The 23,451-nt window shown below is 43.8% G+C and overlaps 1 pseudogene, besides 6 other annotated features; it reads left to right on the forward strand.

Annotated features, from left to right (window-relative positions):
* Window positions 4,859-5,003: an enhancer, noted in NCBI's record as "145 bp 1:150748803 sequence used in MPRA reporter constructs". NCBI's record gives its function as "activates a minimal TATA-containing promoter with rs6660084 allelic activity by MPRAs in C283T melanocytes and UACC903 melanoma cells {active_cell/tissue: C283T | UACC903}" and the evidence as "EXISTENCE:reporter gene assay evidence [ECO:0000049][PMID:36423637]".
* Window position 4,931: a transcriptional cis regulatory region, noted in NCBI's record as "rs6660084 or 1:150748803 MPRA-significant variant associated with a GWAS melanoma risk locus at 1q21.3". NCBI's record gives its function as "allelic transcriptional activity by MPRAs in C283T melanocytes and UACC903 melanoma cells {active_cell/tissue: C283T | UACC903}" and the evidence as "EXISTENCE:reporter gene assay evidence [ECO:0000049][PMID:36423637]".
* On the forward strand, window positions 8,953-13,077 carry LOC100132571 (short coiled-coil protein pseudogene; annotated as a pseudogene).
* Window positions 9,478-10,335: an enhancer, noted in NCBI's record as "H3K27ac hESC enhancer chr1:150753350-150754207 (GRCh37/hg19 assembly coordinates)". NCBI's record gives its function as "activates a minimal SCP1, AML or CMV promoter by ChIP-STARR-seq in primed H9 embryonic stem cells {active_cell/tissue: H9 hESC(primed)}" and the evidence as "EXISTENCE:reporter gene assay evidence [ECO:0000049][PMID:30033119]".
* Window positions 10,336-11,192: an enhancer, noted in NCBI's record as "NANOG-H3K27ac hESC enhancer chr1:150754208-150755064 (GRCh37/hg19 assembly coordinates)". NCBI's record gives its function as "activates a minimal SCP1, AML or CMV promoter by ChIP-STARR-seq in primed H9 embryonic stem cells {active_cell/tissue: H9 hESC(primed)}" and the evidence as "EXISTENCE:reporter gene assay evidence [ECO:0000049][PMID:30033119]".
* Window positions 23,020-23,164: an enhancer, noted in NCBI's record as "145 bp 1:150766964 sequence used in MPRA reporter constructs". NCBI's record gives its function as "activates a minimal TATA-containing promoter with rs2864871 allelic activity by MPRAs in C283T melanocytes and UACC903 melanoma cells {active_cell/tissue: C283T | UACC903}" and the evidence as "EXISTENCE:reporter gene assay evidence [ECO:0000049][PMID:36423637]".
* Window position 23,092: a transcriptional cis regulatory region, noted in NCBI's record as "rs2864871 or 1:150766964 MPRA-significant variant associated with a GWAS melanoma risk locus at 1q21.3". NCBI's record gives its function as "allelic transcriptional activity by MPRAs in C283T melanocytes and UACC903 melanoma cells {active_cell/tissue: C283T | UACC903}" and the evidence as "EXISTENCE:reporter gene assay evidence [ECO:0000049][PMID:36423637]".

The raw sequence follows: 23,451 nt of genomic DNA on the forward strand, positions 1-23,451 counted from the left end.
GGCCAGGCTGGTTTCAAACCCCTGACCTCAGATGATCCGCCCGCCTTGGCCTCCCAAAGTGCTGAGATTACAGGCGCAAGCCACTGCGCCTGGCTGCTTCCTGCACATTTTAAATAAACTGTAGTACCCGGATAGATGAACCTAGTATTGACATCCACAGCCGTGTTGAGTTTGGAAAAACAAGGGTGGAGTGTCAGAAGCTAGAATGGGGAAGGTGCTTTTCTCAGGCTGCGAATACAGGAAACTCAAGAAGAAAGCTATTGTGGAGCTCTCAATAATTTCAGGTTGCCTTCTCTATCCTTCTTTACACATCTGATCTCATACCTGATGTTTTTTGCTTTTAGCCTTGATACCTCTATATGTATTTCTATCCATAGAAATAGACAGTTCAATTTCCTTAATGAGAAATTAGCATAGGAACAAATTTCTTTCCATCAAGATTAAATGGTAGACAACTGCTTTTACAAGGGACCATGTATTTTTCCAGTCATTGTTTCTCTGTCTGACGAGGTCTATAAATCTACACTCAGTACAGAGCATAAACGTGGTGATTAGGCAACAGCACACCTTCTGTCTCCATTCCTGGGTATTGCCTACATGGAATTGTGTATGAAATTATGTCTCTACCTGTTTCCGGTAATCCTCTACCAAGTGGGAAAAAATTTTGGGGTTAATTGTGTTTTCTAGTGGTACTCTAAACCGGATTCAGGACGGCAGCGGCCATCTAAATGTCTTCCTTTGTTTATTTCTAAATCCATAAATTAATTCCAGATTTACCAAGAAACTAAATTGAGTTGATCCCAAAATGAAACAGGGCTCTCAGGGACATACTCACTTCTTCCCAGCCTGCCTTTGGACTCAGTAAGTAAGCAGAGACTGTGTTTATTTGTCTGATATACATGACCCCTGGTTAATATGTAGGTCGTAGAAGAAACCAAAATTTTACTTATGGAAGGCAGGGAGAATAGAGATGAATTACCTTTTGTGAGAAAAAGAACAAGTGACATATTAACTGCTATTGTATTTTCTGTTGTCAGGACGTGGGCTGAGTAAAAAGCTTAAAAGCTTTTGCATATGTCTTGGTTCTGCCATCTATTGGTTATAAGGCCTGGAACAAGTGATTTAACATGCCCATGGCTCACTTTCCCTATGCATAAGTACGGAAATGCTGACTTAGTGGCAACTAAACAGTGGAAGACACCAGCAATAGAATGTAATTATAATATCGCTCCATGAGATGGTAAGATTTTACAGTTCCAACTAATTATTCCTGAGTCCGTTCCTTTTGCAGAACAAGTTTCTAATAAAGTACTCAGGATTAAGATAGATGGTTATGAGCAAGTGCTACCATTTAGGATATTCATTTGAAATACTAATGCTCCTGGCATTTTTTTTTTTTTTTTTTTTTTTTGAGACAGAGTCTCGCTCTGTCACCCAGGCTGGAGTGCAGTGGCGTGATCTCAGATCACTGCAAGCTCTGCCTCCTGGGTTCATGCCATTCTCCTGCCTCAGCCTCCCAAGTAGCTGGGACTACAGGCGCCTGCCACACGCCTGGCTAATTTTTTGTATTTTTAGTAGAGACAGGGTTTCACCATGTTAGCCAGGATGGTCTCGATCTCCTGACCTCGTGATCCGCCCGCCTCGGCCTCCCAAAGTGCTGGGATTACAGGCGTGAGCCACCGCGCCCAGCCGCGCTCCTGGCATTTTTTATTTTTATTTATTTATTTTTTTTTTTTGAGACAGAGCCTTGCTCTGTCGCCTAGGCTGGAGTGCAGTGGCATGATCTTGGCTCACAGCAAACTCTTCCTCCTGGGTTCAAGTGATTCTCAGCTTCCTGAGTAGCTGGGATTACAGGCATGCCACCATGCCTGGCTAGTTTTTGTATTTTTAGTAGAGACGGGGTTTCGCCATGTTGGCCAGGCTGGTCTCAAACTCCTGACCTCGGGTGATCCACCCACCTCAGCCTCCTAAAGTGCTGGGATTACAGGCATGAGCCACCATGCCTGGCCAAGAAAAACATCTTTAATACAAAAACACAGAAAGGTTGACAATAATAGGAAGCTAAAAGCTAGATCACACAAACGCAAGCAACAGCAAAATGTGGGTATAATTATTCAAATATCAGTCAGAGTAGACTTTAAAGCAAGAAGCATTATGAGGCTAAAGAGGGAACTTTCATAATGATAAAGAAATAAATGATAAAGGGACCCGCCAGGAAGAGATTATAATCTTAAATCTGTATGCTCCTCAAAACATGGCCTCAGAGTCCCATAAAGCAAAGATTGCCAGAGCTAAAAGGAAAAATAGATAAAATCTGCAATCATAATGGGAGGCTTTGAGATACCTCTTTCAATAGCTTGTAGAATAAGCAAATGGAATAAATTAATAGCGATATAGAAGATTCGAATAATGCGATTAATGAACTTGTCCTAATTAAGATATCTAGAGCCTGTCCTCAACAACAGAATCCTTTTTTTTTTTTTTTCTTTTTTTTTCACCCAGGCTGGAGAGCAGAGGCAGGATCACGGCTCACGGCAGCTTTGAACTGCTGGGCCCAAGTGATCCTCCCAGCTCAGCCTCCCATGTAGCTGGGACCCCAGCCCCAAGCCACTGCACTGGCCTCAGAATATTTATTTTGAAGGGCACATAGAATATTTAACAAAATTGACTCTGTATGTGCTGGGCCATAAAATATTCAAGTCATTTAGAGTATGTTCTCTGACCACAGTGAGATTAAGCTAGGCCCAATAACAAAAATGTAATTAGAAAACCTCCCATTTAAGTGATATACTTCTTAATAACCATGGTTATTAAGAAGAAGAAATCATAATGGCAATTAGAAAATATTTTGAACTGAGCAATAATTTTTAAAAATGACATATAAAAATGTGTGAGATCCAGCTAAACCAGTGCTTAGAAAGAAATTTATAACTTTTTAATGCATATATTAGAAAAGAAGAGGCCGGCGCGGTGGCTCACGCCTGTAATCCTAGCACTTTGGGAGGCTGAGGTGAGCGGATCACGAGGTCAGGAGATTAAGACCATCCTGGCTAACATGGTGAAACCCCGTCTCTACTAAAAATACAAAAAAATTAGCCGGGCATGGTAGCGGGTGCCTGTAGTCCCAGCTACTCGGGAGGCTGAGGCAGGAGAATGGCGTGAGCCTGGGAGGCGGAGCTTGCAGTGAGCCGGGATCGCACCACTGCACTCCAGCCTGGGCGCGAGCGAGACTCCGTCTCAAAAAAAAAAAAGAAAAAGAAAAGAAGAATGGCTAAGAATCAGTGGTCTAAGCTGCCACCTCAAGAAGCAAAGGGAAGAACATCAGAGATGTTTTGATGTTCTCTATTTCCCGCCCTTTTTTTTTGTTTGAGATGGAGTCTGGCTCTGTCGCCCAGGCTGGAGTGCAGTGGTGCAATCTTGGCTCACTGCAACCTACATCTCCTGGGTTCAAGTGATTCTTCTGCCTTAGCCTCCCAAGTAGCTGAGACTACAGGCGTTCATCACCACACCCAGTTAATTTTGTATTTTAAGTAGAGATGGGGGGGGGAGTTCTCCATGTTCATCAGGCTGGTCTCGAACTCCTGACCTCAGTTAATCCACTCGCCTTGGCCTCCCAAAGTGCTGGGATTACAGGCGTGAGCCACCGCGCTTGGCCATCTTTTGGACTAAATAAAGACTGTTGAGCTACTCTGGCAGTACTCTTTTTAGAAAAGCACTTGCAGCAAAATTGTGCTTTCAATAAATGATATTAAATTGTGCATTTTATCTTTGAACTCTCAAACTCTGTTATTCTTTTTCAAAATAGGAAGTTTCTAGCAAATATGGAAAAGAGGAAATACCCAAATCGATATGTTTTAATGAATTAAATACAGATATTATGCATCTTCTGTGCCAGGCATTGTACAGGGCACTGAAGATCTTTCCTGCCCATTATTTTATTTGATCCTCCCAACAACATATGAGGTGGTAGTGGTAGCAATAGTATCCCTATTCTATAGTTTAGGAAACTGGGACTTAGAAAGCCTTGTCTAAAACCATTGTGGAAATAAGTGGTGGAACTGAAACTTGAAGTCCACACCAACATCCTTGATGCCTGGGCTAGATATTGTATTTCATACCAGGCTGGAGCAGCGGTGTCTCAGAGCTGGCTTGTATTGACACTCGTTCACGAAAGCTGCTTATACCCACTTCATCCTCACTCCATCTTTAGTAGCATTGCATTGGTAGCTTAAAATAAGCAAACTCTACAAATCAGGTCTCCCTTATTTTATTTTATTTTATTTTATTTTATTTATTTTTTTGAGACAGAGTCTTAGTCTATCACCCAGGCTGAAGTGCAGTGGCGTGATCTTAGCTCACTGCAGCCTCCACCTTCCAAGTTCAAGTGATTCTCCTGCTTCAGCCGCCCACCACCATGCCTGGCTAATTTTTTTTTTTTTTTTTTTTTTTTTTTTTTTGAGACAGAGTCTTACTCTGTCACCCAGGCTGGAGTGCAGTGGCGCGATCTCAGCTCACTGCAACCTCCATCCCCAGGGTTCAATCAATTCTCCTGCCTCAGCCTCCTGAGTAGCTGGGATTACAGGCATGCGACACCACACCTGGCTAATTTTTTGTATTTTTAGTAGAGACAGGGTTTCACCATAATGGCCAGGCTGGTCTCAAACTCCTGACCTCAGGTAATCCGCCACCTCAGCCTACCAAAGTGCTGGGATTACAAGCGTGAGCCACTGCGCCCGGCCCGCGCCCGGCTAATTTTTGTATTTTTTTGTAGAGATGGGCTTTCACCACATTTGCCCGGCTGGTCTCCACCTTCCTGAGTTCAAGTGATCTGCCTGCCTCGGCCTCCCAAAGTGCTAGGTTTACAGATCTGAGCCACTGCGCCCAGCCTATTTATTGTTTTAATCTGGAGAGCCAGTTGTTAAACACTTACTAGCATGCAACTGGGCTGGACTCAGAAGGCACGGCATCTGCTTAAGTTCCTTTTCTTTGAACTTTCTTATTTTGTTCAAGACTTGGCATTGTAAGAAGTCGCAATACTGGCTTGAATTACTATAGTTTCTCAGTTTCAGATTTTACAGAATGGTAAAACTTGAAGAAAATATTAGAGGGCCAACTTAAGGGTTTTTTTTTAGTTTATCAAATAAGGGTATTTAAAATGTATTATCTTCACTCATCATTTCAAAATTGAAGGAGCATTTTAACACCAAAAAAGGATAAAAAGGAAATAATCTCAGAATTTAGAAGTTGATTATATTTAGTTTTGTTAAAAACTCACTCCAGCTGGGTGTGGTGGCTCATACCTGTAATCCCAGCACTTTGGGAGGTCGAGGCAGGCAGATCACTTCAGGCCAGGAGTTCAAGACCAGCCTTGGCAAGATGGCGAAACCTCGTCTCTAATAAAAATACAAAAAATTAGCTGGGCATGGTAGTGTGTGCCTGTAATCCCAGCTACTCGGGAGGCTGAGGTGGGAGGATCACCTGAGCACTGGAGGTCAAGGCTGCAGTGAACCATGATGGCACCACTGCACTCCACTCTGGGTGACAGTGAGAGAGAGACCCTGTCTCAAACCAACAAAACAGAACAAAAAAGTCTCACTCCATTGTCTATATTTTAATCATTTAACTGAAGACTAATGAAAATATTGTCAAGGACAAATATCCCACAAAACAGGGATTTTTGTTTGTTCAGATGTATCTCAAGCACCTAGAACAGTATCTAGCACTCAGTAAATATTCGATGAAAGAATGAAGGATTTGCAGGAATCTGGTGACCAAAGTTTGGCAACCAGAGGTGTAAGCTACCCAACTTGGCATCTTGGCTAGTCAGTCAGCTAACATATTTGAAGTATTTAAGAAGATATGAAAGAAAAAAATGCACAAATCCTATCTTAGGTTGAGAAAATCTAGTTGGGAGTTATAGAAGATGGATGCCTAAACATGGCTTAATCTCAAGGACAACTAATATCAAATTAGTTGCTCTACTTTTAAGAGAACTATGTAGCGCCTTTATTCAAGATATTAGAAATGCCTTTGCTAGAAACGGGAGAGTCTTTTCACGGTTCACTAATTTTCCCTAGGAATCTGCAGAACCAATGAGAATGAAAGCTTTTGAACGTACGATGATGAGGCAGGATTCTGAAGCTTCTATTTAACTGTATTGTCGGGGACATTGAAAACATCAATTGTAACTGTACCAATGAGATGGTGTTGGTAGCAGCGGTGTCCCTCTTCTATAGATGAGGAAACTGGAACTTAGGGAGGCTTAAGCAAGATCATTGTGGAAGGAAGTGGTGGAAGTGTGGGCATAGTGCCACAAACATTAAAAACAGGAAAGGTGAGCACAGAACAACTTTCCTTTAAGTCATTTCTCCTTCTTACATCTACCTGGTAAGTCAGCCCAGCCCTTTGGTAGAGGCACCTGTTACCAATGGCAGCAATAACAGAAGAGGCAGAGGAAGTGAAGATACCTAAGGTGGTGCTAAGGCTAAAGATGAATGACAGTTGCTTCATTTTATTTGTAAAGTGCAAGTGCAGGCCAGTAATAGCCTTCTTTAACCAGTGTATTTTAAGTCCTATACATACAAGCAGTTTCCAACTTGCAAAAGTGTTGTGTTTTAAAAGACATGTAAAGAGGCTGTTTAAAACCAAAAATAGAGGCCGGGAGCAGTGCCTCATGCCTGTAATGCCAGCACTTTGGGAGGCTGAGGTGGGTGGATCACCTGAGGTCAGGAGTTCAAGACCAGTCTGGCCAACATGGTGAAACTAAAAATACAAAAATCAGCCGGGTGTGGTGGTGCATGCCTGTAATCCCAGCTACTCGGGAGGCTGAGGCAAGAGAATCACTTGAACCTGGGAGGCAGAGGTTGCAGTGAGCCGAGATGGCGCCACTGCACTCCGGCCTGGGCGACAGAGATTCTGTCTCAAAAACAAACAAAAAAAAAAACAAAAATATACTCTCCTTAAGAAGTATTATAAAGTGGTTATTTGTTTCTTAAACATGTCAATAAAAATTCATATGATTTAGTCCATAATGTAGCTGAAAAATTATGTGTACACAATGGAAAACAGTACTAGAAATACTGCTGTAAACATAATAGACTTGACCTCAATTAGACTTGTTCCAGCAGCTCCTGAGACTGGGCTTCTATTGAATGAGCCTGAATTTCATTCCCACTGATTCAACAGTGGTAGCCAACTCTCATGTAGCAGACATTCTGACTCTGGCCAGGCACTGCTCTAAGCACTTTACATATATTGACTCATTTCATCACCACAAAAATCCTGCGAGGTAGGTATTATTCTTTTCTCTATTTTACAAAAGCCCTAACCCTAGCCCAAGATCACCTTGCTAGTAAATGGAAGAGGCAGAATCAGGATCCAGGCTGCCTGGCACCAGAGTTCATGCTCTTAACCACTATGTTATGTTGCCTTTCACTAAAATATAATTGGCTTCTTTCATATCAACCTTTAATTCAATAGAGAGGAAAGGGAAAGTAATTCCTGAGGGTGTTGGTATGGCAGGCAATCATGCAATTCTATAGAGTAGATACTCAGAATTTTTTTTTATTGAATGCAAGTGATAAATTATTATTGCTTTGAGTGATGGGGGTCTTACAAATTAATTTTTGTACATTTATGATAGCTAGAGTAAGAAGGTATTCAATAGAAAGACACATGGTATCCAGAAGCAGGTATGAAAACAATAAAATAAAATAAAGATGCAGATGGAATTTTCTACTGAGGCTAGGAAGATGCTAGCCTTTCTCTGGTTACTTAAATATTCCATCATTACACTTCAAACCGCAATGCCATGTAAGGTTTCAATCTGTCCCAGTAAGTCCTTGCTACTTTGTTAAGTCTCTGAGGGCTTCAAGTAGATACTTTTGATGTATTTTCCAGCTTTTCTATTTGCCCTCAGTGGGAAGGCTGGACTGAATTATGTAGTTCACTATGCTGGAAGGGCAAGTCCCTGAGTCCCTGATTCATGATTTTACCATCCTCCACAACCTCTGAAACAGCGCCGTCCAACAGAAATGCAGTGTAAGGCACACAGTAAATCTAAGTTCTCTGGTGGCCATATTTAAAAAGTAAAACACGGGCCAGGCACGGTGGCTCACGCCTGTAATACCAGCACTTTGAGAGGCTGAGGCGGGCGGATCACCTGAGGTCAGGAGTTTGAGACCGGCCTGGACAAAATGGTGAAACCCTGCCTTTACTAAAAATACAAAAATTAGCCGGGCATGGTGGTGGGCACCTGTAATCCCAGCTACTCAGGAGGTGAGGCATGAGAATCATTTGAACCCAGGAGGCAGAGGTTGCAGTGAGCCGAGATCACGCCACTGCACTCCAGCCTGGGCAACAGAGCAAGACTCCATCTGAAAAAAAAAAAAGGAAAACAAAACAAAAAAGCGAGATAACATTAATTTTAAGCCACATTTTAGGCCAGGCGCAGTGGCTCACGCCTGTAATCCCAGCACTTTGGGAGGCCAAGGCAGGCAGATCACGGATCACGAGGTCAGGAGTTCGAGACCAGCCTGGCCAATATGGTGAAACCCCGTCTCTATTAAATATATATATAAATTAGCTGGGCACGGTGGTGCGCACCTGTTGTCCCAGCTACTTGGGAGGCTGAGGCAGAAGAATCGCTTGAATCCAGGAGGCGGAGGTTGCAGTAAGCCAAGATCGCACCACTGCACTCCAGCCTGGGGGATAGAGCAAGACTCTGTCTCAAAAGGAAAAAAAAAAGAAGAAAAAAGAAAAACACATTTTATTTAACTCAATGATAATATCCATAACATTATCCTTTCTATTTATAATCAATAAATTATTAATGAGATATTTTTGGTATCATCTTCAAAATTCAGTTTTGGAGAGCACCGTTGTCAGTTGGTCCAAGTGTCCAGGTCTGAGGCATCCGCCCAAACCCTCCCACTTCTGGCCCCTCAAACTGGAAGAACATTCATCATGCATTTTGTGTCCAAGGCTCAAAAGTTTGTTACCCAAGATGATGAGTGCTGACATGGATGCAGTTGATGCTGAAAATCAGGTGGAACTAGAGGAAAACAACACGACTTATTAATCAAGTGTGGAAATTCCAACTCATACTTGAAGATCTCTCTGCAAGAGCAAACACAGGTAAGGAAGAAAATCTGAAGCTAAAATCAGAAAACCAAGTTGTTGGACAACATATAGAAAATCTCATGTCAGCTTCTGGTGTTTTTCAAACAACTGACACCGAAAGCAAAAGAAAGTAAGGAATTGACACACTTCTGTTTTACAGAATTGCTGCTGATAATTTTTTCTTTTAAACTTGGACAGATTCCAAAAAGTTACAGCATCTTTGTGGCTTCATTGAATATTTATGAAGAAAATGTCAGGTGAGGCAAAATTAACAGCATTAACAGGAGACTTCCCTAAGTTTGTATATTATATTAGTCTATGAAAACATGCAGTCTCTCCCTCTCCCTCCCCCTCCCCCTCCCTCTCCCCACGGTCTCCCTCTCTTTCCACGGTCTCCCTCTCATGCGGAGCCGAAGCTGGACTGTACTGCTGCCATCTCGGCTCACTGCAACCTCCCTGCCTGATTCTCCTGCCTCAGCCTGCCGAGTGCCTGCGATTGCAGGCACGCGCCGCCACGCCTGACTGGTTTTGGTGGAGACGGGGTTTCGCTGTGTTGGCCGGGCCAGTCTCCAGCCCCTAACCGCAAGTGATCCGCCAGCCTCGGCCTCCCGAGGTGCCGGGATTGCAGACGGAGTCTCGTTCACTCAGTGCTCAATGGTGCCCAGGCTGAAGTGCAGTGGTGTGATCTCGGCTCGCTACAACCTCCACCTCCCAGCCGCCTGCCTTGGCCTCCCAAAGTGCCGAGATTGCAGCCTCTGCCCGGCCGCCACCCTGTCTGGGAAGTGAGGAGTGTCTCTGCCTGGCCGCCCATCGTCTGGGATGTGAGGAGCCCCTCTGCCTGGCTGCCCAGTCTGGAAAGTGAGGAGCGTCTCCGCCCGGCCGCCATCCCATCTAGGAAGTGAGGAGCGCCTCTTCCCGGCCGCCATCCCATCTAGGAAGTGAGGAGCGCCTCTTCCCGGCCGCCATCCCATCTAGGAAGTGAGGAGCGCCTCTTCCCGGCCGCCATCCCATCTAGGAAGTGAGGAGCGCCTCTTCCCGGCCGCCATCACATCTAGGAAGTGAGGAGCGTCTCTGCCCGGCCGCCCATCGTCTGAGATGTGGGGAGCGCCTCTGCCCCGCCGCCCCATCTGGGATGTGAGGAGCGCCTCTGCCCGGCCGAGACCCCCTCTGGGAGGTGAGGAGCGTCTCTGCCCGGCCGCCACGTCTGAGAAGTGAGGAGCCCCTCCGCCCGGCAGCCGCCCCGTCTGAGAAGTGAGGAGCCTCTCCGCCCGGCAGCCACCCCATCTGGGAAGTGAGGAGCGTCTCCGCCCGGCAGCCACCCCGTCCGGGAGGGAGGTGGGAGGTCAGCCCCCTGCCCGGCCAGCCGCCCCGTCCGGGAGGGAGGTGGGGGGGTCAGCCCCCCGCCCGGCCAGCCGCCCCGTCCGGGAGGTGAGGGGCGCCTCTGCCCGGCCGCCCCTACTGGGAAGTGAGGAGCCCCTCTGCCCGGCCACCACCCTGTCTGGGAGGTGTGCCCAACCGCTCATTGAGAACAGGCCAGGATGACAATGGCGGCTTTGTGGAATAGAAAGGTGGGAAAGGTGGGGAAAAGATTGAGAAATCGGATGGTTGCCGTGTCTGTGTAGAAAGAAGTAGACATGGGAGACTTTTCATTTTGTTCTGTACTAAGAAAAATTCTTCTGCCTTGGGATCCTGTTGATCTGTGACCTTACCCCCAACCCTGTGCTCTCTGAAACATGTGCTGTGTCCACTCAGGGTTAAATGGATTAAGGGCGGTGCAAGATGTGCTTTGTTAAACAGATGCTTGAAGGCAGCATGCTCGTTAAGAGTCATCACCACTCCCTAATCTCAAGTACCCAGGGACACAAACACTGCGGAAGGCCGCAGGGTCCTCTGCCTAGGAAAACCAGAGACCTTTGTTCACTTGTTTATCTGCTGACCTTCCCTCCACTATTGTCCCATGACCCTGCCAAATCCCCCTCTGTGAGAAACACCCAAGAATTATCAATAAAAAAATAAATTAAAAAAAAAAAAAAGGAAAACATGCAAATGAATTGTAGAAACTTTATCATTACAGTTGCACATATTGGCCAGGTGCAGTGGCACATGCCTGTAATCCCAGAACTTTGGGAGGCGGAGGCATGTGGATTGCCTGAGGTCAGGAGTTCGAGACCAGCCTGGCAACATGGTGAAACCCCATTCCTACTAAAAATACAAAATAATTAGCCAGGCGTGGTGGCTTATGCCTGTAATCCCAGCTATTCGGCAGGCCGAGGCAGGGGAATTGCTTGAACCTGGGAGGTGGAGGCTGCAGTGAGCTGAGGTTGCTCCGTTGCACTCCAGCCTTGGTGACAGAGCGAGACTGCATTTAAAAAAAAAGAATTGCATATATTTATGAAACTTAAAGATGAATGTTTTATCAAATTTTCCTTGATTTGTAGATTTAGCACTGTCTTTTATTAGAGGCTTACTAAGATATACAAGAAAAATAACCACACGTTGTGAAAAAGTGACCGGAATCATACACTGAATGCGTAGCCTCATGTACCCTGTCCGTCATCTTATGCCTCTTCTCCACTTGCCTCTTCCTCTTTACCTTCCTCGAAGGAAAGAATTGGTTTCACATTTGTAAAAGTCATTTTAATAGTTAATCATCTCAGAGAGTAACCTGCACTTTAATTGTTGAAACTTAACCAAAATAAGATACAGAAAGTATCTGTATCTGAGAAACAGCTAGGGCTTGTCATTTTTTATATTTAGTATTAAGACAAGAATGCTGGTTTCTCTTTAATCCATTTAAAACAGAGGGAAGCTATAAAAATAAAGATTTTTCTTTGAGGCTGAATTGTCAACTTAGGAAGATTTGTTGTTAAAAATTTGTTTTTGCACAAAGTAACTCACTTCATCTTATCTGGAAAGATAAGTTGGTCAAGTGTATGTTTAAAATACAAAATTTAGAGGAAAAATAGAAATAGGGTGAAAAAGTACTTGGTAAACAGTAGTGACGAACTGTGAATATTTTCACTCCAGATTTTGTTATCCCTGGCACAGAGTAGATCTTTTGGGAAATATATACGGAAGTGGATTAAGTTTGACTAACTTTATGTAAGCCACATCTAGAAGAGAACAGTTACAAAGAGTTTGGTCTCTAGATTTATTTGTACCCAGCAGATCAACTTTTGCAAAATTCCTTCGCAGTGCAGTAGTATTAGAATTGTGAATGAAATAGGAGTGTTTCGCATATATGCTTATTGACAATCTTCTCAGTATTTTATCTTACTTGTTCTCTCAGAATTTTCTGTCAACTCAACTACTTGATTTGCAGTCATCCTTTGTTATTATCCTTTAACAAGTTTTATCTTATTTTATTTATTTTTTGAGACAGGGTCTTCCTCTGTCATCCAGGCTGGAGTGTAGTGGCACAATCTCGGCTCACTGCAACCTCTGCCTCCCAAGATCAAGCAATTCTCCCACCTCAGCTTCCCAAGTAGCTGGGACTAAAGGCACGTGCCATCACACCTGGTTAATTTTTTTATTTTCTGTAGCGACGGGGTTTCATCATGTGGCCGAGGCTGGTCTCAAACTCCTAGACTCAAGCGATCTGCCCACCATGGCCTCCCAAAGTGCTGGGATTACAGGCATGAGCCACCACGCCCAGCCTGGCCTCAAATTTTAAAAATTTATAGGTTCCATTTGGTAAAGAAATCAGTATCAGAAGTAATGCTAAAATCTTATAATAGGAAAAGAGATCCACTAATATAGCCTATGGTTATTAGATTTGGGCTACTTTTAATCATGGAATAATCTTATGTATTGGTGTAAGAGTTGATGAATGACTTTACCTGTATGAATTAGAATATTCAAACTGCAAACATTTTGCATCCCTTTTGTGACCTAATTTACAGACATTTAAATTGTGCTGCAATTCTGCTTTGCCATTTAATAAAAAGCTGTTTCAGAAAAAAAAATCCAGTTTTGTATTTTATACTTACAGCACATCTCAATTTGAACTTTTCAGTGTCACATCTCAAGTGCTCAATAGCTTCTTGCAGTTAATGGCTACTGCATTCGACCACACAGGTCTAAGCCCTCATCGCTTTTCCAAAAGCAGAGTTCTGATCAAAAGATTTCCTGTTTTGACCAGGTGCAGTGGCTCGCGCCTGTAATCCCAGCACTTTGGGAGGCTGAGGCGGGAGGATTGCTTGAGCCCAGGAGTTCATGACCAGCCTGGGTAACATGGCAAGGTCCCATCTCTACAAAAAATACAAAATTTAGCTGGGTGTGGTGGCATGCGCCTGTGGTCCCAGCTACTCTGGAGGCTGAGGTAGGAGGATTGTTTGAGCCCAGGAAGTCAAAGCTGCAGTGAGTCGTGATCATGTCACTGCACTCCAGCCTGGGTGATAGAATGAGACTCCATCTCAAAAGATATAGATAGAGATAGATAGATAGAGATATAGATAAATATAGATATAGATATGGAATAATATTTTTAAAATATATTATTATATAATTATAGATCTATTTCCTGTTTCAGCACTGTGGCTCACACCTTTAATCCCAGCATTTTGGGAAGCCAAGGGAGGGAGGATCCCTTGAAGCCAGGAGTTCTCAAGACCAGCCTGGGCAACATAGTGAGACCCTGTCTCTGCAAAAAATAAAAGCCAGACACAGTGTACACCCCTGTAGTCCCAGCTACTTGAGAAGCTGAGGCAGGAGGATCCCTTGAGCGCAGGAGGTTGCCACTGCACTCCAGCCTGGGTGACAGACTAAGACCTTCCTTCTAAAAAAATAAAAACAAACAAAAATATTTTCTGTGTCAAAACTCTTCAATACTTCCATATTGCCTACTAATTTGAACCAAAGTCCTTATTCCAGTATTTCAGATGCTGTACAAAACAAAAGCATTGCTCTATCTTTGCAGTTTCATCTTTGCTATCCTCACACAAGAACCTTATACTCTAAGCAACTAGTTTTCCTCATATTTCCAGATCATCTATGCTTGTCACCCTCTGCACTGTTGACTTGCTTAATGATCCTAATAGTCCTAGCTAACATTAATTGGATGCCAATTATATGCCAATGAGTGTGCTAGACTCTTTGTGCATTATTATTTAATCTTCACAACTCTATGAGGTAGATATTATTATCCTCATTTTACAGAGGAGAAGTTAAACTTCTGAGAGGCTAACTTGTTCAAGAGGACAAAACTGTCCATTGACCTAGAAGTGAACCAACCTTGTTTTTAAAGTAGTGCTTTCCCAAAATTATCGTGTTGCCTCTCTCTTTCTGGAATTTCCTTTTCTCATTTCTGCTGCTTGAAATTCTGCTCCTCCTTAATGGCCCATCTCTGAAAATAGCTCTTACAAAAAGCCTTTCTCGGCCAGGTGCAGTGGCTCACGCCTGTAATCCGAGCACTTTGGGAGGCCGAGGCGGGTGGATCACCTGAGGTCAGGAGTTCAAGACCAGCCTGACCAACACGGCGAAACCCTGTCTCTACTAAAAATACAAAATTAGCCGGGTGTGGTGGCGCATGCCTGTAGTCCCACCTACTCAGGAGGCTGAGGTGGGAGAATTGCTTGAACCCGGGAGTCGGAGGTTGCAGTGAGCCGAGATCGCACATTGCACTCCAGCCTGGGCAACAAGAGTGAAACTCCGTCTCAAAAAAAAAAAAAAGCCTTTCTTTATCCCCAACTGGATGTCACTTTTTGAGCTTCTACCAAGCTTTGAGGCTTTGAGGCTCCTTGTGGCAGACACATAGACTGAGCGCAGAAAAACCATCCTCTTAATTTTCTGTTTAATATGATAATTATTTGTATTTTTGCCTTATGTAACTACCTGTTAGCCCATAAAGTACAGGGGCCCTGTAGCTCCTACTCTTCTTCGTGTCCTCCACAGTATATGATGCGATGGTCAGCAGACACTAAATAAATATTTTCTGATGATTTAAATTATTTCAGCACCTTCATTCCAGTCTGTTGTGGAATCTCATCCTGCACATCACTGCCAAACTGTGCTCCTAAAACACATTTTTATCATGCTGTTTTCTAGAAATGTTTTCTGTTGCCTGCTGCATGAAGTCCTGCGCCCCTGCCTTCCAAGGCTCTTTCCCCATGCTCTGGATCCCTTTCCTGAGCATTTTACTCAATTTGTTTTTGTTTTTGTTTTAAAGAGGGGGTCTCGCTCTGTTGCCCAGGCTGGAGTGCAGTGGCGCGATCTCGGCTCACTGCAAACTCTGCCTCCCTGGTTCAAGCAATTCTCTGCCTCAGCCTCCCGAGTAGCTGGGATTACAGGCACACGCCTCCATGCCAATTTTTTGTAGTTTAGTGGAGATGGGGTTTCACCGTGTTGCCCAGGCTGGTGTTGAACTCCTGAGCTCAGGCAATCTGATGGCTCATGCCTGTAATCCCAGCACTTTGGGAGGCCGAGGCTGGTGGATCACTTGAGGCCAGGAGTTTGAGACCAGTCTGGCCAACATGGTGAAACCACGTTTCTACTAAAAATATAAAAATTAGTGCCTCATCTGTAGTCCCAGCTACTTGGGAGGCTGAGGCACGAGAATCACTTGAATCCAGCAGGCGGAGATTGCAGTGAGCTGAGATCGCACCATTGCACTACAGCCTGGGTGACAGAACAAGACTAGTCTCAAACAACAACAACAACAACAAAAACAAACAAACAAAACCCCAGATTTTGAAAACTCAGCCTCTGATGTAGCCATGCTGGTCCCATGGACCTCCCCAGTTGCCCAATCATTCTTGCCTCCTTTCTAGAATGGCTCTCTCCATTCCTTGGCCTCTTTGTTCTGCAAGATCCACTTCAAGTACTGCCTCCTCAGAGCCTTCTCTAACTACCCCAACTCTTCTTCCCTCTAGCTACACTTGCACGATACAAATTGTACCACGAAATTCTGATTCTGTATTTGTAGCACGTAAGATAGTTTTATCTCACTAGCTAACTTGAAAATACAGGATCTTGTCCTACTCATCTTTGTATTGCACTGTGGCTTAACACATATTTAGATAATAATCAATAAACATTCATTGAATTAACTTTTCCTAATTATAATATTCTACATGGTTTGTCTTCATTTCTGGTTCATCATGACTTGGCAGTGGCTTCTGAGGCTTTAAGCCTTAGGTTTCTCTTTGAATCTCCTCCTGGTATGCAAAAGTCTGTAAACACATACAGTGTTTGAATACATTAGGGGAACATGTCATTAGATAATCTATCCTTGTATCACTTAAGGTATTTTATAAACTTACACATCATCCTGTGACATTCCAAAGCTGTAAACTGGATTTTTGCAAAGCTGTAAATTGCCCTGAAATGGGGCACACTTTTTGCAAATTTATTTCAATAGCGATTGAAAACAAAAAAACAAGGCAAATGTTTTGCACAACAGTTGCACAACAACTAAGTCTTATCCAGAATGCTGCACAACACTAAGTCTTATCGGGAATGCAGACTCCCTTTCATCACAAACGAGGCAACATCTCCTGAATAACGTGGAAAAGGAGAAATGAAAGCAAAATAAGGAAGCTTTGTCCCTGCTTGTTACAGTTGTACCTTTTCAAGCTTTTGAAGTAACCATCTCTTAGCTTCATGCCCCCTGAAAATCAGCTGCTTTAAGTTTCTCTGTCTTATTTAGTCTGTGTGTGTGTGTGTGTGTGAGAGAGAGAGAGAGAGAGACAGTCTTGCTCTGTCGCCCAGGCTGGAGTGCAGTGGTGCAATCTCGGCTCACTGCAACCTCCACCTCCACGTTCAAGCAATTCTCCTGCCTCAGCCTCCTGAGTAGCTGGGATTACAGGCGCGCCATCACGCCTGGCTAATTTTTGTTTTTTGTTTTTTTTTGTAATAGAGACAGGGTTTTGCTATATTGGCCAGGCTGGTCTTGAACTCCTGACCTCAGGCGATCTACCTGCCTCAGCCTCCCAAAGTGCTGGGATTACAGGCGTGAGCCACTGCGCCCTACCCTTATTTAGTCTTAAAGAAAAGGATTTTGAATTTTAGGATGATTCATTCCAATGCTAGTTCTAGTCTCTGTTAATTTACCCAAGTGTGCTAGGAATTTAATAACATACATTATTTTCATAATAAAATAGTTTACTTCTTACTGACCTCACTGTCCAAGAAATGCACAAAGGTGAGGTGAGGAATACCCTTCATGGACTATAGGAGAATATGGGACTAGAAAAGACGATTTTACCATAATGTTGAGTTTCCCCTCAATTAACTTTATGTTAATATTATGCAATAACTTTCTGAAGAAAGAAAACAGAATTCTTGAGTCATTAGGGAAAATAGGAATGTTCTGAATTGAAAATATATATTCTTTCTGATATTCTGTGTAGCTTATCTGCTTGGTGCATTATTTGATCCTAGTAGACATCCCCCATTATCCTACAAGTACTCCTTGTCACCTAGCAATGTGTACTCAAAGAAGGAGCTTAATTTTACCAAGAGAACAAAATAAGACATAATTAGGGAGTACTCTAGAAGCCAGTGATAAGACCCCTCCCCTAACAAATGAATAACAATTGGTGTGACACATTTGATGTGTTACAATTAATTACAAAGTAAGTCACAAGAAATGTATTACTAATAAAAAAGTACCAACAGTTTGAAAGTGACATGTTTAACAATTAGAGCCAATTCAGCAGATTATCCCTATAATAATATTATGTTGATAGATGTGCATTCCAGTATGCTTTCTGGGAGAGAGAAGGGGAGAATTATGGGTAGCTACCAACGACTGATATTATTTTGTGAGCGTGTCCGTGGAAATGTGTCGAAAATGTGAACAACATCTGTCTTCTCTATAGTAATATGGGAAAGTTGAGAATAGCTAAGCTAAAAGGTGTTGGAAGTATACTTTTTTTCACCAGCTTCCCTTCCTCCTTCTCGTGGTAACAGCACCCTGATTTTAAAATGGGGAAACCCTGACACTCCTGGGCTTAAGATAGAACCAATCTTGCCCCTAGCTTCAAGAGTGGGCATAGGTCCCAAGGCCAGCCTGTCAAAGTTTTGTATCCCTCCAGCTACAATGACTGGTTGGGGAATGAGCATGTGACACAATCACAGCCTGCAAGACCTGTATCACGAGGTTCTTTGTTGCAAAGAAGAGTAGTCGATTTTGGCTGACTCAGAATTTGGTAGAAGTTACAAACTGTAAAATGTGGAACTGGCTGAATGGAGGGCGTGGGGATAGGGCAATGAGGACTCTAGTCCAAACTGGAAATTATGAATTCATGAAATATCTGTTGCCTATTGTTTTGGGGTAAGACCACAGGCCCACTGGAGTGTGGTATGAGAAGAAATGGTAGTGCTGGGCGCAGTGGCTCTCCCCTGTAGTCCCAGCACTTTGGGAGATAGACAGGTGGATTGCTTGAGCCTAGGATTTAGAGACCAGCCTGAGCAACATGGCAAAACCCTTCTCTACAAAATACATGCTGGGTGTGGTGACACACACCTGTAGTCCCAGCTACCCGGGAGGCTGAGATGGGAGGATCACTTGAGTGCAGGAGGTCGAGGCTGCAGTGAGCCATGATTGTGCCACTGCACTCAAGCCTGGGCAACAGAGTGAGGCCCTGTCTCAAAAAAAAAAGAAGAGAAAGAAATGATAGGAAAAATTCAGCATGTTGGCATATGTTGGCTCCTTTTGTAGGCTTCAGAAAGTGGCTCACGTCTGTAATCCCAGCACTTTGGGAGGTCGAGGTGTGTGGATCACGTGAGGTCAGGTGTTCGAGACCAGCCTGGACAAGACGGTGAAACCCCGTCTCTACTAAAAATACAAAAATTAGCTGGGTGTGGTGGCGGGCGCCTATAATCCCAGCTACTCAGGAGGCTGAGGCAGGAGAATTGCTTGAACCCGGGAGGCAGAGGTTGCAGTGTGCCAAGATCACACCACTGTACTCCAGTCTGGGCGACAGAGCAAGACTTGTCTCAAAAAAAAGCAAAAAGCAAAACAAAACAAAAAACAAGAAAGAATACAAGAAAGTTACTCAGTAACTTAATCTGAAAGTGTTCTATCTAAAAGCGTAGAGAGAATAATATATCGCTTTGCTAAGTGAAGTTCTTTCTGCCTATAGCCTGCAATATAAAATCCCATAGTTTAGAGCCCTATAGGGTAGAAAAAGTACCAAACTGGTCGGGCGAGGTGGCTTACACCTGTAATCTCAGCACTTTGGGAGGCTGAGGTGGGCGGATCACTTGAGATCAGGAATTTGAGACCAGCCTCGCCAATATGGCAAAACCCCATCTCTACTAAAAATACAAAAGTTAGCCGGGTGTGGTGGTGGGAGTCTGTAATTCCAGCTACTCTGAGGCAGGAGAATCGCTTGAACCCAGGAGGCAGAGGCTGCAGTGAGCCAAGATTGTACCACTGCACTCCAGCCTGGGCAACAGAGCAAGACTCCATCTCAAAAAAAATAAATAAAAAGCACCAAACTAAACTTAATGCAGAGGCAAGGAGGCAAAAGATTTAGCAAGAAATAAGACCAGAGTTCCAGGCTTCTGTCATGCACCTCCAGCTAAGCATTTTCCCAGAAAAGAGGGCAAAGCTCAGATTATGGGTATACATCTGCTCTTATGGCTTTTATTTTGAGCTACTTGGACAAGTACCATTAAATGGAGGTCAGGGGATGGCACAGCACTGAGGTTGATTCCTAGGAGTTTGAAATTCTCAGGTTTAAACATTTTATCTAGAAAAACATTTTTTGGGTGTGACAACTCAGACCAAAAGCTACTGAGCTTTTATGGGAACGTATTGCCAAAGAAACCCCAGGCCCAGCAATCTATTGTATTTTCTAGGTTTCCAATTTGTACCACAGCTAAAGTTGAGTAGGGCATGCCCAGAAAGGGCATTTCCATGTGCCCATCTCTGGCATAGCCATGGAGAATAAGAGACAAGTAAGATCCTCTAGCAGGAAGAAGCAGGAGCCATGCTAGACCATAAAGAAGATCCCCATAGAGAGCGAGCCTCGAGTTTCCCAGTTACCTCGCCAAGGAACTCATTCTACTGCCAGGCAAGGAGTCTTCCATATTCCTGCCTAGCAGGACATAAATTATGCTACAGATCAACAATAACTGTGTGCTATTTTTCATCCATTCTCCTCTTTGCAGAATTAGAGTTTTCATTGTAATTACTCTGTTCCTATTTTTTTTAAAGATATATTGGCTAAGATAGTTTAAGTTTTACCCAGTATAAGCGAATCTGGCCACTTCTCTCTCCCTCTACCATGACCACAGTTTAAGTTCCCACCATTTCCCCACTAGACTTACGTAACAGCCCTCTAACTTCCCTACTTCCACGCTACACTCCGCCCTACAGTCTATTCTTCCCTGTACCCCAGTTCACATCACTCCCCTGTACAAAACTTTCCCATTTAACAAATATTAAGCATCTGCTTGCCAGGCCTCAAGGAGCCATATCCAAATTTGAGAAGGAAATCAGAAAGAAATCATCAGCCAGAAATCCTGGTCTTAAGAGTTGAACACTGTAACCAAATAAGGCCCTGGGTTGTCTCTCACCGGGGAAGAGGAGTTGATAAGCACTCTGTTATACAGGCATGAGCATTTCTTGAATAACTCCTTATTTCTAACAGCATTCTAATTTTGTTTAGATAACCATTGTCCGTAACACCACAGACTGAAATGAAGTCAGACAGGTGGCCTGGGCCGGGCGCAGTGGCTTACACTGGTTAATCCTAGCACTTTGGGAGGCTGAAGCAGGTGGATTACTGGAGTCTAGGAGTTCGAGACCAGCCTGGGCAACATGGCAAAACCTCATCTTTACAAAAAATACAAAAATTAGTGGGGCATGGTGACATGTGCCTGTAGTCCCAGTTACTCGGGAGGCTGAGGTGGGAGGATCGCTTGAGCTCGGGAGGTCGATGCTGCAGTGAGATGTCATTGTGCCACTGCACTCCAATCCGGGTGACAGAGTGAGACCCTGTCTCAAAAAAAAATAAATTAATTAATAAATTAAGGCCGGGCGCGGTGGCTCACGCCTGTAATCCCAGCACTTTGGGAGGCCGAGGCGGGTGGATCATGAGGTCAGGAGATCGAGACCATCCTGGCTAACAAGGTGAAACCCCGTCTCTACTAAAAATACAAAAAATTAGCCGGGCACGGTGGCGGGCGCCTGTAGTCCCAGCTACTCGGGAGGCTGAGGCAGGAGAATGGCGTGAACCCGGGAAGCGGAGCTTGCAGTGAGCCAAGATTGCGCCACTGCAGTCCGCAGTCCGGCCTGGGCGACAGAGCGAGACTCCGTCTCAAAAAAAAAAAAAAATTAATAAATAAATAAATTAATTAATTAATTAAAAAAAAAAAAAAGGCCGGGCCTGGTGGCTCACGCCTGTAATCCCAGCACTTTGGGAGGCCAAGACGGGTGATCACTTGAGGTCAGGAGTTGGAGACCAGCCTGGCCAACATGGTGAAACCCTGTCTCTACTAAAAATACCAAAAATTAGCCGGGCAAGGTGGCAGGCACCTGTAATCCCAGCTACTCAGGAGGCTGAGACAGGAGAATCGCTTGAACATGGGAGGCACACGTTGCAGTGAGCTGAGATCATGCCATTGCATTCCAGCCTGGACAACAAGAGCAAAACTCCATCTCAAAAAACAAACAAACAAAAAAAACAGCCTGGGACCAGATCATGCTGCTTGTAGGCCACTTAATACTTCTGTATTATATTCTAAGTTCACTAAAATATAAACCCAATGAGGTCTTGAATTTTTGTCACTGTTGAATTACCAGAACAGTGCCTGACTCACAGTAAAGGCTTAATATTTGTTAAATAAATGAAAGAGTAATGGGAAAGTTTTGTACAGGGAAAAACAGACTGTAGGGTGGAGTGTAGTGCAGAAGTAGGGAAGTTAGAGGACTATCACATAAGACTAGGGGGAAACAAAGGGAACTTAAACTGTGTGGTCATGCTAGAGGGAGAGAGAAACGGCCAGATTCATATTATATTTTGAAGAGGCAGGGACAGAATTTGCTAATATGGACCAAAAGAGAAGTAGAGAAGAATAACAACAAAATGATTGAGCAATATTTAATTTGGAATCACATGGCTAAATAATATATATATATATATTTTTTTTTTGAGATGGAGTCTCACTCTGTCTCCCAGGCTGGAGTGCAGTGGCGCGATCGCAGCTCACTGCAACCTCTGCCTCCAGGGTTCAAGCGATTCTTGTGCCTCAGCCTCCCAAGTAGCCGGGATTACAGGCATGAGCCACTGCGCCCAGCTAATTTTTGTATTTTTAGTAGAGACAGGGTTTCACCTTGCTGGCCAGGCTGGTCTCGAACTCCTGGCCTCAAGTGATCCACCCACCTCAGCCTCCCAAAATGCTGGGATTACAGGCTTGAGGCACTGTGCCCGGCCTCTTTCTTTCTTCTCTCTTTCTCTTTTACCTGAGATGGGGTCTCACTATGTTGCCCAGGCTGGATTCAAACTTCTGGGCTCAAGCAATCCTCCTACCTCAGCCTCCCTAGTAGCTGGGACTATGCAGGCATGCCACCGTCCCAACCAGAATTTTATTTCTTTTTATGGCTGAATAATATTCCATTGTGTAGAATATTACCACATTAGGCTATCCATTCATCTGTTAATGGACACTGGGTTGTTTCTACCTTTGGGCTTTTGTGAATAATGCTGCTAAGAACATTGGTGTATGAGTATCTGAATCCCTGCATTCAATTATTTTGGATCTAAATCCAGGAGTGGAATTGCTGGATTATATGGTAATTCTATGTTTAAGTTTTTGTGGAACCAACACACTGTTTTCCACTGCAGCTGCACCCTTTTACATTCCCACTAACAACGTACGAGATTTCAGTTTCTTCACATCCTCATCAACACTTGTTATATTCCAGGTTTGTTGTTGTTGTTGTTGTTGTAATAGCCATTCTAATGGGTATGAAGTGTATCTCACTGTGGTTTTGGTTTACATTTCCTTATAGGCTAGTGATGTTGAGCATATTTTCATGTGCTTATTCACCATTTGTATATCTGTTTTGGTGAAATATGTATTCAAGTCCTTTGCCCATTTTTAATTTTTCTTATTGTAGAGTTGTGGGAGTTCTTTGAATATTTTGGATATTAATTCTTTCATCAGATATATAACTTGTGGATATCTTCTCCCATTCTGTGTTGTCTTTACCCTCTCTTAATAGTGTCCTTTGGTGGACAAAAAAATTCTAATTTTGACAGAAGTCCAATTTATCTAACTTTTTTCTTTTTTTTTTCTTGAGACAGAGTCTCACTCTGTCATCCAGGCTGGAGTGCAGTGGCATGATCTCAGCTCCCTGCAACCTCCGCCTCACAGGGT

This window comes from Homo sapiens, chromosome 1 (assembly GCF_000001405.40).
Source record: "Homo sapiens chromosome 1, GRCh38.p14 Primary Assembly".
In the NCBI taxonomy this organism is placed as follows: Eukaryota; Metazoa; Chordata; class Mammalia; order Primates; family Hominidae; genus Homo; species Homo sapiens.